The sequence below is a fragment of the Homo sapiens genome, chromosome 20, assembly GCF_000001405.40.
Source record: "Homo sapiens chromosome 20, GRCh38.p14 Primary Assembly".
Lineage (NCBI taxonomy): Eukaryota > Metazoa > Chordata > Mammalia > Primates > Hominidae > Homo > Homo sapiens.
In genome coordinates this window covers 26,054,254-26,066,412 of record NC_000020.11, presented here as the reverse complement: position 1 = coordinate 26,066,412, position 12,159 = coordinate 26,054,254, and the positions used below count along the sequence as shown (strand labels likewise).

General features: G+C 53.4%; 1 long non-coding RNA gene across 1 annotated transcript in view; it reads right to left on the bottom strand.

Annotated features, from left to right (window-relative positions):
• Nucleotides 1-11,799, bottom strand: part of FAM182A (family with sequence similarity 182 member A) — a 32,304-nt gene extending 20,505 nt beyond the window's left edge. The window contains exon 1 of the long non-coding RNA NR_026713.1: nucleotides 11,328-11,799. This is a non-coding gene — a long non-coding RNA (family with sequence similarity 182 member A). The remainder of the gene's footprint in view (nucleotides 1-11,327) is intronic.
• Nucleotides 11,800-12,159: the final 360 nt, after the last annotated feature.

Here is a 12,159-nt window from a genome sequence, read left to right as displayed (position 1 = left end):
CTGCCACCCAGTTTCAAGTAAGTCTCCTGCCTCAGACTCCTGAGTAGCTGGGATACACAGGCATGCACCACCATAGCCGGCTAATTTTCATGTATTTTTTTTTAGTAGAGATGGAGTTTCACGATGTTGGTCAGGCTGGTCTCCAACTCCTGACCTCAGGTGATCTACCGGCCTCGGCCTCCCAAAGTGCTGGGATTACAGGTGTCAGTCACCTCATTTGTCCAGTCTGCACTATTCCTTAGTGTCAGACAATTTGAGCCAAACAATGTCTTTCTCATTTGGACATGACCTTCAGGGTCTAATTTTTGTATTTTTAGTATAGACCAGTTTTGTTTTTTTTTTTTGACAGAGTTTCACTCTTGTCCCCAGGCCGGACGGTGCAGTGGCATGATCTCAGCTCAATGCAACCTCCGCCTCCTGGGTTCAAGTGATTCTTCTGCCTCAACCTCCCGAGTAGCTGGGATTACAGGTGCCTGACACAACAACCTGCTAATTTTTTGTATTTTTAGTAGAAACAGGGTTTCACCATGTTGGGCAGACTGGTCTCGAACTCCTGACCTTAGGTGATCCACCCTCCTCAGCCTCCCAAAGTGTGGAATTACAGGCATGAGCCAGAGCCTGGCCTCACCTGGCTAATTCTTTGTATATTTGAAGAGACGGGGTTTCACTGTGTTGGCCAGGATGGTCTTGATCTCCTGACTTCGTGATCCGCTGGCCTCGGCCTCCCAAAGAACTGGGATGAGAGGTGTGAGCCACTGCACCGGCCTCAGTGTAGCTTATTATCAAAGTATTTACATAGAAAAATTAATCAAAGGGCACAAGCATTTCAATACTTAGGTTAAGATGAAATCTGTGGCCGGAAGAGTGCCAGACACACATGAAATGTTTTGTGCATGAAGGAACCACAACTTAAAATGATTTTCTGTTATTCATTTTGGTATGTTATTTTGGAAATGTGATTAATCACGTATGTAAAGGACGTTGAGAAGAATTTCCAGATACTCTGATATGCATGACATCTTAATCACACAATATAAAGCAAGGCTATCTTAGGAAATTAGGTATCACTGCCAAGGACCTTTACATGAGAAGATAAATAAAAACTACTATTAAATTTGTAACAGTCAGATGGGCTGGCAGGCAAGTTGCGTCATTTTTTTCTCAGTATTTTTTCTTTTTCCTTGATTCAATAAAACAAACTTAAACGCCAGTTATCTGCAGAACCCTCACTGGACTATGTTTAATGATATGTGAAACACAGCCTGCACACTCACAGATCCTTGCCACGTCCCGTTCCCATCCTCTCAAAACCTGTGTTACCCTGTGGCTAGATTTCTCAAGGAGATGAAAGAGAGAGATGAATGAGAACCACCTTCTTTCAGGTCGCTCTGCACTGCTCCTGCAGGTAGACAATGACCTCTCCGGTGAGGCTATTATCCTTGGCTTGGGGGTGGAGGCCTTTATCCTGGAAAAGAGGCCTCTCAGGGTGGGGAGGTGATTTAAATTCTTATGAGAGAGACGCAGCTCCTCACCTCATCTGGACCTTCACAAACCTAAACTGGAACCGCCAGAAAAATGACTGACAACGGGCCACACAAGCCAGGCAGAGACGCGGGGAGAGGCTGACCACAAGAAAGGCGGACATAGAAGATACCGTCCTCTGGCGCACAGGGCACATATGTCCCAACACACACACACATGCACACAGGGACACAGAGCAAAAGAGTGAGAAAGGGGAGAGAGAGAAACAAGAGAGAGACATACGCACACACACAAACGCACAAAGACATACAGCAGTGGCACGGTAACACCTACACGCAGGCAGCCCCTGAATTTTCAGGGTTCTGCTCTCCATGACAACAACCCACTGGTGAGAGAGCAGCCCACGGGCACACAAGCAAACCTCTCCTTTTTTGAAGAGACTCACTGGCACACCGTCCGTGCAGGCCTGAACCTGGGATCCTGCGCTGCTTGCCCGGCCCTCCACCTGCAGTTTCTTCCTCCTGGACGACCCTCCGTGAATCCCGGCCTCCAGAGACTATCCTGTTGATGCCCTGGCCAGGACTGGTCTTAGCCCGGACTCTGACTAATCCCTCTAGTACCAGGTACTCGGGAGGTGGAGGCAAGAGAATCACTTGAACCTGGGCGGCAGAGTTTGCAGTCAGCTGAGATCCCGCCACTGCACTCCACTGAGTGACAGAGTGAGATTCCGACTATAAAAAAAAAAAAAGAAAGAAAGAAAAGAAAAATGACCGCGGAGCGGTGGCTGCGGGGACTGGTGCTGCGGCGGGTGAAGTGAAGATTGGGAAAGGGGCCTCGTCGACCCTCCCCGAATCCGGGCCTGAGGCTGGGATCTCGCGCTGCCGCCCCGGCGATCCGCCTGAGGTTTCTACCTTCTGAGGTTTCTTCCTTCTGAGGTTTCTTCCTGGTGGTCAACCCTCCGAGAATCCCAGGCTCTGGAGACGATCCTGTTAATGCCTTGGCCAGGACTGCTCTCAGACCCAACTCTGACGCACTATCACACGGGGCTCCTACTTCGCAAAGTCTCGGGGACCCATCCACGGGCAACAGTGGCAATCACTACGACCAAAGCGGAGGCTCAGGCCTTGCGCATGCGCACTGGCGAGACTGAATCCCCGCTTGCTCCCGAGAGTCCGGCGGCAGATCCTTTAAAAAATGGCGGCGACGCGCGGCTGAGGGGACTGGGGCAGCGGTGGCAGCAGCAGCGCAGTCCGAGGCGGCGGGTGGGAAGAGGACTACGAGAGGGTCCTGCGGGAGACCCAAGGGTTGTACCCATAGAGGTCCTGTCATCAGGACCTTCTTGATCGGTCTTCTGCTTTGGTTGCCGGTGGAGGAGGAGCTTCAGGGTGTGGCTGGGCTCTCTGGAATCCTCTTCGACCTGACTATGGATCCCACTGGGTGATCAGGAATGGGGTTACAATGCAGTGAGGCGGGAAGGGTCTCGCTGGGGCACAGAAAGATCCTAAGGGCTGCAAGGCGAACTGTCAGCTGAAAATGCACTGACCCATGAGCCCACTGCCTCCCTCCTTCCTAGGTGGAGCAGTGGCCTGACTTCATCTCCAAGGTTCGGGGCTCTGGCATCCCGACACTGCTTTCCGCAGCATGTGCAAGGAGAGACAGAGGTGAGTCCGAGATGGAGCCAATGTGACCACACGTGGCACTAATGTTCCCCAAGAGCAGATGGAGTCAGTGTGTGTCTTTGAGGCCATATGGGGCGATGCTGAGACGGATAGTGATGTCCAGGTGTGTGCAGGTGGGTCACTGGGACCTCCCACACAAAGCCAAGGAAAAGCCAAGCACACTAGAAAACCTGTGAGACAGGGCCTGTGCCTGAGTCCAAGCCACATTCAGGGATGACTGCCAGAGGGGCCAAGAGGTTTCGACAAACGACACCACACCGACATCCTGCCACCTGTAGGTACCCCTGATGCCACCTCCTCTGCACCCAGCAAAACCCAGTCCCTTTGGCTCCCTGACATCCGTGGCAGCCAAAAGATTCAGTGCTTGGAGGCACTTTCCCCAGGAGCAGAGGAACGGGATGGCCCTCAGGAATGAGAGAGGAAGGGCAGGTGGGATGCAACACTAACTTTTCTAGAAGGCAAAGGTCAGCCACAGTGGGGTTGCCTCCCGCTCTTCCTTGATGGACCACGAAGCCATCACTTAGGACATGCAGACAAAGGGAGCTTTCCTGTCCAAGACAGGTATGGAAGCCCAGAACTCCAGGATCATGACAACCTATCATCCAGAAACAGGTTTGGGGAGGGAAGCAATCATAAAAGGGAGCCCAGCGAAATTTCTCCCTAATGGACTGGGAAGTGTTCTTTGTTGAAGACATTGAGCCAGACTAAGAAACCTCTAGGCTTCACAGGAACTGGGCAGACAGAACAAGAGGGAGGACAGAGCAGAGGCCAATGCCACAGCACAATGCCACTATCACGGGCATCCGGGAAAATGTGCCAAATGGGTGACTTGGCGAGGAAGGCCAGCGTTTGAGTGACAGACATGCTTGCCCCATCTTGTAGCCAGCTTCCTTCTCCGTCCCAGTGTATAGCTGTGGGTAGCTTTCTCAATGAGGGCAAAGGGCGAGAGGAGTGAGAACCATCTTCTTGAAGGTCTGTGGGCACACGCCTGTGGGTGGACAATGAGCACCTGTGAGGCCTTTGTCCTTGGCTGGTTTGCAGTCGTCTTGATCCTAGCAAGGAGACAGCACAGGATGGGAGGGGTATTAAAACTCCTGCAAGACAGCGGAGGCATTAAGCCCCTTCACCAAAGCACAGTCATGGAGAACTCCTGCTATGCCAAAATTAAGGGACTGGATATTAAGACAACAGTGGAAATCACTGTGATGAGACAATCAGCTAGAGCCACGTGGAGGCACACTGGCTGGGCCGACTAAAGCTCCGGTGCTGGACGGCAGGCAGCTGCCCCTTTCAACAATGGCTACTGTGCGGTAGCAGATGGGCTCCTGTTGCAGCCTCGGCAGCGACTGGATCCGGGGTAAAGTTTGCAGCGGCCCGGTAGAGGGTGTGGCCAGTGTCCTGTCCCAGGGTGAAACCCCCAGGAGTCCTGTCCTCAGGACTTCCTTGAGCCAATTCTCACCAAGGGAGGGAGAGCTTCAGGACACCTGCTGGGTTCTCGGGACTCCCCTTCAGATCCGATTTTGGCCCCCGCCGAGTGAGATAGGATGGGCTCACCACATCTGGTGAGGCAGGCAGCGCCTCGCTGCAGCACAGAATGATCCCATAGGTCTCAAGACCTAGTGTCAGCTGCAAATTCACTGATCCCTCAGCCCTCTGCCTCCCTCCTCCTTTGAAAGAGCAGTGGCCTGCCCCGCTTCTAAAAGCCCTGGGGCTCCGGAAAGCCAACCGCCCTTTACAGGACACCTACAAACAGGAACAAGGGCGAATCCGAGGTGGAGACAATGTGACCATGCATGGCACTGGCGTATCCCACAGAAGATGGTGTGAATGTGTGTCACCGGAGGCATACGGGGCGACGCGAAACAAACGGTGTTCTCCATGCATGTGCCGGGGGAAGAGGGGAACGAGTGGCCTTTCCCTCAATGCCAAGGAAAATTGAAGAACACCTGGGAACCGGGGGGTGGGGGGGGGCCTGTGCCTGACCCAAGCCACGTTTTCAAATGCCTACCAGAGGAGCAAAGAGGTTTCTGCAAAATTCGCCCCACCTCCAACCCTACACCGCCCTGGTATCCCTGACACAACTTAGGCTGCCCCCAGCCCCAACCCCAGCCCCTGCCCCAGCCCAGTCCCTTTGGTTCCCTGACATTCGTTTCGGCCAGAAGATCAAGGGAGTCAGTTCACCCAGGAGCAGAGGAGAGGATGTCCCTCAAAAATGAGACAGGAAGTGCAGAGGAAATGCGACACCACCTGTCCTGGAAGACAAGGCCAGTCACTGTCGCCTAGCGCTCCTTCTAGGCAATCCACCCACCCATGAGGGAAAACGTGGAGAAGAAGGAAGCTTCCCTGCCTGAGACACATATGGAAGCCAAGAGCTCCAGGGTCATGAGACCTGCGGAATCCAGGAGAAACACGTTTGGAGAGAGAAACATTCAGGACACGGATCTCCAGGAAATGTCACCCTGACGGACTGGGAAGTCATCTTTGTTGAAGACATTTGGCCAGAGCGAGATGCATCCAGGTCCCTGAGAAACAGGGGAGGCAGAGCAAGAGGGAAGACAGAGCAGAGGCCGGAGCCCAGGCAGGGTAAAGCACCGTGCCACCGCCACGGTCATAAGGGGAGGGGTTCCAAAGGGATGGCTTGTCCAGAGAGGCCAGCGTTCCAGTGACAGGGACTGTTGCCATCTCCCATTCCCGGCTTCCTCTTGCAGACCGTATGGTGGTGTGGCTTCATTTCTCAGAAAAGAGCCGTGAAAAGATACCAGCATCTTCTCTGACGTGGGTCCGCTGCTCTCCTGCAGGACAAAGAGCCCCTGTGGGGCTCTTGTCTTCAGCTGCAGTGTGTTCATCTTGATCCTAGGAAACTGGCCGCTCAGGATGGGAATGAGATTTCATTTGCTCCGTGACCAACGCATCTCCTCAAGTGGGCCAGGCCTTCACATACCCAAAGCGGATCCGCGGCGGCGAAAAAGATTGACAACCGGACTCATGACCCAGGCAGAGACGCAGAAAGAGGGTCACCAAAGACAGGCCGCCCTGCGAGAAACCGCTTTGTGGCGCACAGGGCACATTCGGCAAAGACACACACGCACACGGGCAAACACACACAAAACACTGAGAGAGGGAAAGAAACACACAGACACTGAGAGATAGAGAAGAGAGAATGGGAGACACACACATAGACACACACACTCACACACACACACACACACAGACACAGAGACACACACAGAGTCCTAGAGCAGAGGCATTGAAACACACACCCCCAGGCAACACCTGAGGCTTCGGGGTTGTGCTCTCGACGAGAACGATCCTCGGGTGAGAGACCACCCCATGGGCACGCAGGCCTACATGTCCTCGAGATCACGGCGGCACTACTTTTGGAGAGACTCACCCCAACCAACACCGTCCGGGCAGGCCTGAGGCTGGGATGCCGTGCTGCTTTCCCCGGACTCTGCCTAAGGTTTCGCCATCCTGGTCAGCCCTTTGCGAATCCTGGCATCTGGGGACGTTCCCGTCGACCACGTGGAGAGGTCAGGCCGGAGACTCAGAGCCCCGACACTCAAGCACTGCCATGGAGGGCTCCTACTTTGCCATGCCTCGAGGACTGCTTTCTAAGACAACCGTGGGAACCACTGTGACGGGAGAAGCCGCTCCCGCCTCGCGCATGCGCATTGGCTGGCCCGACTCGAACTCTGCTCCTGGCAGTCAGGCTGGGTCCCCTTTAAAGAACGCCACCGCAGCGCGGCGGCAGCGAGGCTCCAGCTGCAGGCGCGGCGGCGGCTGGATCCGGCCTCCAGTTTGGGGCAGCGTGGGAGAGGGGACCGCGGGTGTCTTGTCCTGTCCCAGGGCCAAACCCCCAGGAGTCCTGTCCTCAGGAACTCCTTGAGCTGACTTCCACCGAGGGAGGGAGGGGGAGCTTCAGGACGCCTGCTGTGTTCTCAGGACACCCCTTCAGATCCCATTTTGGCCCCCACCGAGTGAGATAGGATGGGCTCGCCACATCTGCTGAGGCAGGCAGGGCCTCGCTGCAGCAAAGAATGATCCCATAGGTCTCGAGGCCTAGTGTCAGCTGCAAATTCACTGATCCTTCAACCCTCTGCCTCCCTCCTCCTTTGAAAGAGCAGTGGCCTACCCCTCTTCTAAAAGCCCTGGGGCTCCGGAAAGCCGACCGCGCTTTACAGGGCTCGTGCAAACAGGAACAGTGGCGAATGCCAGGTGCAGACCATGTGACCACGCGTGGCACTGGCGTATCCCACAGCAGATGGTGTGAATGTGTGTCACCGGAGGCATACGGGGCGACGGCGAAACAAATGGTGGTGTCCAGGCATGTGCCGGCGGAAGTGGGGAACGAGTGACCTTTCCATCAATGCCAAGGAAAATCTAAGAACACCTGGGACCCGGGGGGTGGGGGCGCCTGTGCCTGACCCAAGCCACGTTTTCAAATGCCTAGCAGAGGAGCAAAGAGGTTTCTGCAAAATTCGCCCCACCCCCAAACCTCCACCGCCCTGGTAGCCCTGAAGCAACTTCGGCTGCACCCAGCCCCAGCCCCAGCCACAGCCCCACCCATGAGAGGAAACCTGGAGAAGAAGGAAGCTTCCCTGCCTGAGACATGTATGGACACCCAGAGCTCCAGGGTCATTAGACCTGCGGAATCCAGCTGAAACACGTTTGGAGAGAGAAACAATCATAACATGGATCTCCAGGTAGTGTCTCCCTGACGGACTGGGAAGTCATCTTTGTTGAAGAAATTTGGCCAGAGCGAGAGCCATCTAGGCCTCTGAGAAACAGGGGAGGCACAGCGAGTGTGACAACAGAGTAGAGGCTGTAGCCCAGGCAGGGTACAGCACCGTGCCACCGCAATGGGCATAAGGGGCGGGGTTCCAAAAGGGTGGCTTGTCCAGAGAGGCCAGCGTTCCAATGACAGCGATTGTTGCCATCTCCCATTCCCAGCTTCCTCTTGCAGACTGTATTGTGGTGTGGCTTCATTTCTCAGACAAAAGCCGTGAAAAGATACAAGCATCTTCTCTCACCTGGGTCAGCTGCTGTCCTGTGGGAAAAAGAGCTCCTGTGAGGCTCTTGTCCTCGGTTGCTGTGTTTTCATCTTGATGCTAGAAAAGAGGCCACTCAGGATTGGGATGAGATTTCAATTGCTCCGGGACCGTCGCATCTCCTCACGTGGGCCAGGTCTTCACACACCCAAAGCGGTTCCGCGACAGTGAAAACAATTTACAACCAGCCTCATAACCCAGGCAGAGACCCAGAAAGAGGCTCACCAAAGACAGGCCGCCATGCGAGAAACCGCTTTGTGGCGCACAGGGCACATTTGTCCAAAGACACACAAGCAGACGGGCACACACACACAAACCAATAGAGAGAGGGAAAGAAACACACAGAGACTGAGAGACAGAGAGAGAAGAGATCATGGGAGACACACACACAGACACACACCGACACACACACACACACACACACACACACACACAGAGTCCTAGAGCAGAAGCATTGAAACACACAACCCCAGGCAACCCATGAGGCTGCGTGGTTCTGCTCTCAAAGAAAGCGACCCTCGGTTGACAGAGCAGCCCAGGGGCATGCAGGCCGACCTGTCCTCGAGATCACGGCTGCGGCACGACTTTTGAGGAGACTCACCCCAACCAACACCGTCCAGGCAAGCCTGAGGCTCGGATGCCGTGCTGCTTCCCCAGGACTCTGCCTGGGGTTTCCTCATCTAGGTCTGCCCTTTGCAACTCCTGGCATCCGGAGACATTCCCGTCGACCCCGTGGAGAGGTCAGACCGGAGCCTCAGAGCCCGGACACCCAAGCTCTGCCGCGGAAGGCTCCCGCTTTGCCAAGCCTCGAGGACTTGTTTCTAAGACAACCGTGGGAACCACTGTAATGGGAGAAGCCGCTCGCGCCTCGCGCATGCGCATTGGCTGGGCCGACTCGCGCTTCCCTCCTGGCAGTTAGGCTGCGTCCCCTTTCAATAACGCCACTGCTCCGTGGTGGCGGCGAGGCTCCTGCTGCTGCCACGGCGGCGGCTGGTTCAGGGGTCCAGTTTGTGGCGGCGTGGGAGAAGGGGCCTTGAGTATCCTGTCCCAGGGCCAAACCCCCAGGAGTCCAGTCTTCAGGACCTCCTTGAGCCGACTTCCACTGATGGAGGGGGAGCTTCAAGGCGCCTGCTGGGTTCTCAGGAATCCTCTTCAGATCTTAGTTTGGACCCCTCCTGGTTAGAAAGGAAGGGCTCAGCACATCTGGTGAGGCAGGCAGGGCCTCGCTGCTGCACAGAATGATCCCATGGCCCTCAAGGCGTGGTGTCAGCTAAATGTTCACTGATCAGTGAGCCCTCTGCCTCCCTCCTCCGTTGAAAGAGCAGTGGTGTGCCCCACTTCTAAAAGCCGTGGGGCTCCTGCCAGCAGACACCGCTTTCCAGGACAGGTGCAAACAGGGTCGGTGAGAATCCGAGGTGGAGACAATGCGATCACGCGTGGCACTGGCGTATCCCACAGCAGATGGTGTGAATGTATGTCACCGGAGGCATATGTTGCAATGATGAAACCAACATTAGTGTCCACGCATGTGCCTGGTGGAAAGGCGGATCAAGTGGCTTTTCCCTGAATGCCAAGGAAAATCAAAGAACACCTGCGAACAAGGAGGAGGCCTGTGCCTCAGTCCAAGCCACATTTTGAAATGCCTGCCAGAGGAGCAAGGAGTTCTCTGCAACATTCACCCCACCCCGAAGCCTCCACCGCCCAGGTAGCCCTGACGCAACCTCCCCTGCACCCAGCCGCAACCCCATCCCCAGGCCCAGCCCTGTTCCTTTGGTTTCATGACATTCGTTACAGAAAAAAGATTCAGGGAGTCAGTCCACCTACGAGCAGAGGAGAGGATATCCCTCATTTGTGAGACAGGACGTGCAGAGGTAATGGGACACCATCTGTCCTAGAAGACAAGGCCAGTCATGATCGCCTAGCACTCATTCTAGACAATCCACCCACCCATGAGGTGAAACAAGGAGACTAAGGAAGCTTCTCTGTCTGAGACACGTGTGGAAGCCAAGTGTTCCAGGCTCATCAGACCTGCCCAATCCAGCAGAAACAGGTTTGGAGAGAGAAGGAGTCATGACAAGGATCTACAGGAAGTGTCTCCCTGATGGACTGGGAAGCGATCTTCGTAGAAGTTATTCAGCCAGACCAAGAGGCAACTAGTCCCCTCAGAAACAGGGGAGACCGGGCAAGAGGGAGGACAGAGCAGAGGCCAGAGCCCAGGCAGGTTACAGAACCTTGCCACTGCCACGGGCATAAGGGGAGGGGTGCGAAACGCGTGACTTGTCCAGAGAGGCCAGCATTCCAGGGACAGGGATTGTTGCCGTCTCCCATTCCCGGCTTCCTCTTCAGAATTGTATGGTGGTGTGGCTTCATTGCTCAGAGAAGAGCCGTGCAGGGGTACAACCATCTTCTTGGAGGTGGGTCTTCTCCTCTCCTGCCGGACAATGAGCTGCTGTGGGGTTTTGTCCTGGGCTGGAGTGTGGTCCTCTTGATCCTAGAAAAGAAGCCGCTCAGGATGCGGATGAGACTTTGATTGCTCTGGGACCGACGCGTCTCCTCAAGTGATCAAGGCCTTCACAAACCCAAAGTGGAACCGCCGTGAAAACGATGGACAACCGGCCACAGGACCCAGGCAGAGATGCAGAAAGAGGCTCACCAAAGACTGGCCAACATGCAAAAAATTGCATTTTGGCGAACAGAGCACATTCGTCCAAAGACACACACGCACACGGGCATACGCACACAAACACACACACACAGACCGACAGAGAGAGGGAAAGAAACACACAGAGGGTGAGAGACAGAGAGAGAAGAGAGAATGGGAGACACACACACACACACAGTCCTACAGCGGTGGCACAGAAATACACACTCCCAGGCAAACCCTGAGGCTAATAGTGGAAAATATGTATCTAAGAATACATTTGGAACAGAAATGTGAAAAACCAAAAGTAAGAGATATTATGAAGGATCAAATATAAAATGACCCAGTGCTAAAGAGGCAACAAAGAAAATTGTAGAAGAAAATGACAAGAGGAATTGTGCCTTAATGAGTTTGTACTACTATATAGAAAATACACTAGGCTGGGTAATTTCTGAAGAACAGAAATGTATTTCTCACAGTTCCATAGGCTAGAAGTCCAAGATCAAGGTGCCAGCAGGATTGGTGTCTGGTGAGGGTCTGGTCTCTGCATCCAAGATGGTATCTTGTGCACTGTGTCTTCAGGAGGAGATGCACTGTGTCCTCACATGGCAGAAGGTGGAAGGGCAAAACAGGGGAAGCCCACTCCATCCAGTCCTTGTGTAAGGATCCTAAACTCATTCGTGAACACTCTCCCTTCATGACTGAATCACTACCTTAAAGCCCTACTTCCTAATCTTATGACATTGGTGATTAATTTTAGGGGGACACATTCAGAGCATAACACCCTATATTCAATTTCTTAAAAATTATTTTGTTGTTTTGCTTTTCTGTTTTTCAAATGGCTTAAAGTGCACAAAACTGGATTACTCATAATCCTTGGCTCATAGCATACCTTGGCTCCTATTTCATCCTTGTCTGTGCCTGGGCCTCTGTGTAAATGTATTTGAATAATATGGTAATCACTTGTGAACTTACAACACAACCAAAGAACCAGGGTTCTGACCCTAACATCTGCTCCTCCTCTGTCCTTTTTCCTGATTTTCACCCTTCAGCCCGAGGGTAACTACTACCCTGAATTTATGTTTAGGATTCTCTTCCTTTAAAAAAAAAACATTGTTTATTTCATACATATGATTACCTTAAATGATATATTATTTAGTTTTTAAGGGTATAATTTATTTACCCATTATCCTATTAATTTACCCATTCTCCTATTAATGAAAATCTGGCTTGTTTCCATATATTCGCTATTATGAATGGAATTACATGAGCGTTTTTTTTTTTTTACTACCTCTGGTACATATGGGCA